General features: G+C 36.8%; 1 annotated feature.

The window, feature by feature from the left end:
• Nucleotides 4,077–4,277: a silencer, noted in NCBI's record as "peak1556 fragment used in MPRA reporter construct". NCBI's record gives its function as "represses an SCP1 promoter by STARR-seq MPRAs in K562 erythroleukemia cells {active_cell/tissue: K562}" and the evidence as "EXISTENCE:reporter gene assay evidence [ECO:0000049][PMID:32103011]".

Consider the following 4,580-nt stretch of genomic DNA (forward strand, 5'->3'; position numbering starts at 1 on the left):
CTGGCACAAGACTGGGATGCCCTCTCTCACCACTCCTTTTCAACATAGTGTTGGAAGTTCTGGCCAGGGCAATCAGGCAGGAGAAGGAAATAAAGGGTATTCAATTAGGAAAAGAGGAAGTCAAATTGTCCCTGTTTGCAGATGACATGATTGTATATCTAGAAAACTCCATCATCTCAGCCCAAAATCTCCTCAAGCTGATAAGCAACTTCAGCAAAGTCTCAGGATACAAAATCAACGTACAAAAATCACAAGCATTCTTATACACCAATAACAGACAAACAGAGAGCCAAATCATGAGTGAACTCCCATTCACAATTGCTTCAAAGAGAATAAAATACCTAGGAATCCAACTTACAAGGGATGTGAAGGACCTCTTCAAGGAGAACTACAAACCACTGCTCAATGAAATAAAAGAGGATACCAACAAATGGAAGAACATTCCATGCTCATGGGTAGGAAGAATCAATATCATGAAAATGGCCATACTGCCCAAGGTAATTTATAGATTCAATGCCATCCCCATCAAGCTACCAATGACTTTCTTCACAGAATTGGAAAAAACTACTTTAAAGTTCATATGGAACCAAAAAAGAGCCCGCATTGCCAAGTCAATCCTAAGCCAAAAGAACAAAGCTGGAGGCATCACGCTACCTGACTTCAAACTATACTACAAGGTAACAGTAACAAAAACAGCATGCTACTGGTACCAAAACAGAGATATAGACCAATGGAACAGAACAGAGCCCTCAGAAATAATGTGGCATATCTACAGCTATCTGATCTTTGACAAACCTGACAAAAACGAGCAATGGGGAAAGGATTCCCTATTTAATAAATGGTGCTGGGAAAACTGGCTAGCCATATGTAGAAAGCTGAAACTGGATCCCTTCCTTACATCTTATACAAAAATTAATTCAAGATGGATTAAAGACTGACATGTTAGACCTAAAACCATAAAAACCCTAGAAGAAAACCTAGGCAATACCATTCAGGACATAGGCATGGGCAAGAACTTCATGTCTAAAACACCAAAAGCAATGGCAACAAAAGCCAAAATAGACCAATGGGATCTAATTAAACTAAAGAGCTTCTGCACAGCAAAAGAAACTACCATCAGAGTGAACAGGTAACCTACAGAATGGGAGAAAATTTTTGCAACCTGCTCATCTGACAAAGGGCTAATATCCGGAATCTACAATGAACTCAAACAAATTTACAAGAAAAAAACAACCCCATCAAAAAGTGGGCAAAGGATATGAACAGACACTTCTCAAAAGAAGACATTTATGCAGCCAAAAAACACATGAAAAAATGCTCATCGTCACTGGCCATCAGAGAAACGCAAATCAAAACCACAAGGAGATACCATCTCACACCAGTTAGAATGGCGATCATTAAAAAGTCAGGAAACAACAGGTGCTGGAGAGGATGTGGAGAAATAGGAATGCTTTTACACTGTTGGTGGGACTGTAAACTAGTTCAACCATTGTGGAAGTCAGTGTGGCAATTCCTCAGGGATCTAGAATTAGAAATACCATTTGACCCAGCCATCCTATTACTGGGTATATGCCCAAAGGATTATAAATCATGCTGCTATAAAGACACATGCACACGTACGTTTATAGCGGCACTATTCACAATAGCAAAGACTTGGAACCAACCTAAATGTCCAACAATGATAGACTGGATTAAGAAAATGTGGCACATATATACCATGGAATACTATGCAGCCATAAAAAATGATGAGTTCATGTCCTTTGCAGGGACATGGATGAAGCAGGAAACCATCATTCTCAGCAAACTATCGCAAAGACAAAAAATCAAACACCACATGTTCTCACTCATAGGTGGGAATTGAACAATGAGAACACATGGACAGAGGAAGGGGAACATCACACACCGGGGACTGTTGTGCGGTGGGGGAAGGGGGGAGGGATAGCATTAGGAGATATACCTAATGCTAAATGACGAGTTAATGGGTGCAGCACACCAGCATGGCACATGTATACCTATGTAACAAACCTGCACGTTGTGCACATGTACCCTAAAACTTAAAGTATAATAATAATGAAATTTAAAAAAAGAAAAATAAAAAATAAAAAATAAAAAAAGAATTTACTATCTTATTTGGAGACTAGGCAATTACAAATGATGTTATGAGATTTACACAAAGAATGATATTATGAATATATATAAAAAAGAACCTATTAACTCTGCTCTTGGTACTCTAATTGAAGGTTCACAACAAATTCCAGTTCAATAATGTCAGATATTCTTATTTTAAATACTTATATAAGTAAATAAGTGATACAGAAAAAAAAAACCTGTAGGTATTTAAGCAGGGGATAGTATTACATTATAAATTGCCCTCAGAGTCCCTCTCAAATGGTGGTTTCACTGCATTTCCAAAAGTGTCTTCTAAACCATGGTGGGTTTTTTTTGTTGTTGCTTTGGGTTTTTTTTTGGCTTTAGTAACTGAATTATTTCATGGTCCAAGTGGCACACAATAAGAAGTTCAATCTTCAATGCACTTTAAATCCAAGAATTTAAAGTTAAAAGAACAACAAAGCAGGATATAAAGACTATTTAAAAAGTAGGTCCAGTAAATAGTGACGAAATTAGAATGACTGAAGTCGGGGGAAAGCACAGACTGATCAGATTACAGAGACTGCTTAGGACATGAGAATGTTTCCTTTAGTGTTAAAAATAGAAACAGGATATGAGGCAGGAGTGGAGCCCAGTTGTAGTGATCAGGCAAAAATATAGGACAAAATGTCACACCTCTTGGTTCATCAAAATGCTGGTGCTATGCTTGTATAAGAAAGCAGGATTGCCACCGTAAGTTTGTAATTTCAATAATGGCAAAAGTGAAAGAATATTCAGGAGAGAAAACGGGAATTGCAGAAGTCTTTTTACTTCTTCAAAATCATAAAGTCTAGAAACTATGTATCAAAGTTATAAAAAATTAGACCTTTAAAAATTAAGAAGTCACTTTAAAAATCAGATATTAGGGCTGGGCGCGGTGGCTCACGCCTATAATTCCAGCACTTTGGGAGGCCAAGGCGGGCGGATCGCCTGAGGTCAGGAGTTTGAGACCAGCCTGGCCAACATGGTGAAACCCCGTCTCTACTAAAAATACAAAAATTAGCCGAGTGTGATGGCGCATGCCTGTAAATCCCAGCTACTCCGGAGGCTGAGGCAGGAGAACAGCTTGAACCCTGGAAGCGGAGGTTGCAGTGAGCTGAGATCACGCCACTGCACTCCAGCCTGGGCGACGGAGTGAGACTCTGTCAAAATAATAATAATAATAAGATATTAAACATGAAAAAGGAAAATATAGCTTCAGGAGCAAAGAAGCACAAATACCAAATTCTAACATATAAAAGAAAAAAATAAAGAAAACTAAGGCCTTTGCAGAAGTCAAGCCAATCCTGTCTACTAACAATCGCAGAGGACCCATTCTTTACCCAGGGCATATGCTGTGCATTTTCAGGCACATGGCCTCCTTTCATCTTGCCAGGCACTTTATAAAATCATTAATAATTTCTGCATCTTGCAGATAAGAAAACTGAGGCTTAAATAAGTTAAATGCTGTACTCAACATTGTATTATGTAGAAGAACAAGGATTGAAACAGTGACACTTTGACTCCATGCCCATTTTCCTTTCCATTTAAACATATTCTGATAGGATTAGAAAACTCTTTATAAAAAGATCCCAGAAAACTTTATGGCAAAGAAAAGCAAATTGCACAATGAATTTTCATCATGAAGAACACAATCTCAGAGACCAGAAACTTTCATTTAGTCTGAAGAAAAAAAATGTAAACTCTAAGCAAAACTTAAATCCAGAGTAAAAGTGCCAGTACAAATGGGCAAAGAGAATGTAGTGGGCTTCAGAAATATTTGTATCATTTCTTTATTGTCAATGCTCCAGATGGAAGAATGTTACCACTTATTTATAGTATAGAATCTTTTCTCCTATTCTCTGTAGAAAAAAAAAGGAGTAATATGTCAGATAACAACCAAATTTATTCTTTCTATTAAATTCCAAAAGTGGTATGTGAGATTTATGGTCATCCTTGTTAAGTTTCTTTAAAGCTTATGAGCATAGAGATGAGTGTTTTCATAACGGTTTTTTAAAGGAAGAGCGTAATGTGCTTCCCTTTTTTAAAGGCAGCTGCTTGCAAAACCCAGAAACAGTACATCCAGTTACTTGCTGAAAACCTCAGCCTTTTACATCCACAATAAAAATTGAGTACAAAATGTACAAAGCATAGATTTTCCCCATGTGATTATTATTAAATCCTTAATTCAAAAATATTTAAGAATTTATTAATAGGCATCGATCCTAAGGAAGCAAGTGAACAAGATACATATGCAGAGTTATTTATAGTAGTGAAAATTTTGAAATAAATGTGTATCCAATAAGAGAATAAAATTTTCAATAAAATTTAGGACATCAATTCAACAGACTATTATGCAGCTATTAAAAATGATAATGACACTCTAGGTGCTGATATAGAAAATCAGTATTATTTTATAAGTTAGAAAGGAAGGTTGCAGAACATTAAAATAT

This window comes from Homo sapiens, chromosome 12, assembly GCF_000001405.40.
Source record: "Homo sapiens chromosome 12, GRCh38.p14 Primary Assembly".
Classification (NCBI taxonomy): domain Eukaryota; kingdom Metazoa; phylum Chordata; class Mammalia; order Primates; family Hominidae; genus Homo; species Homo sapiens.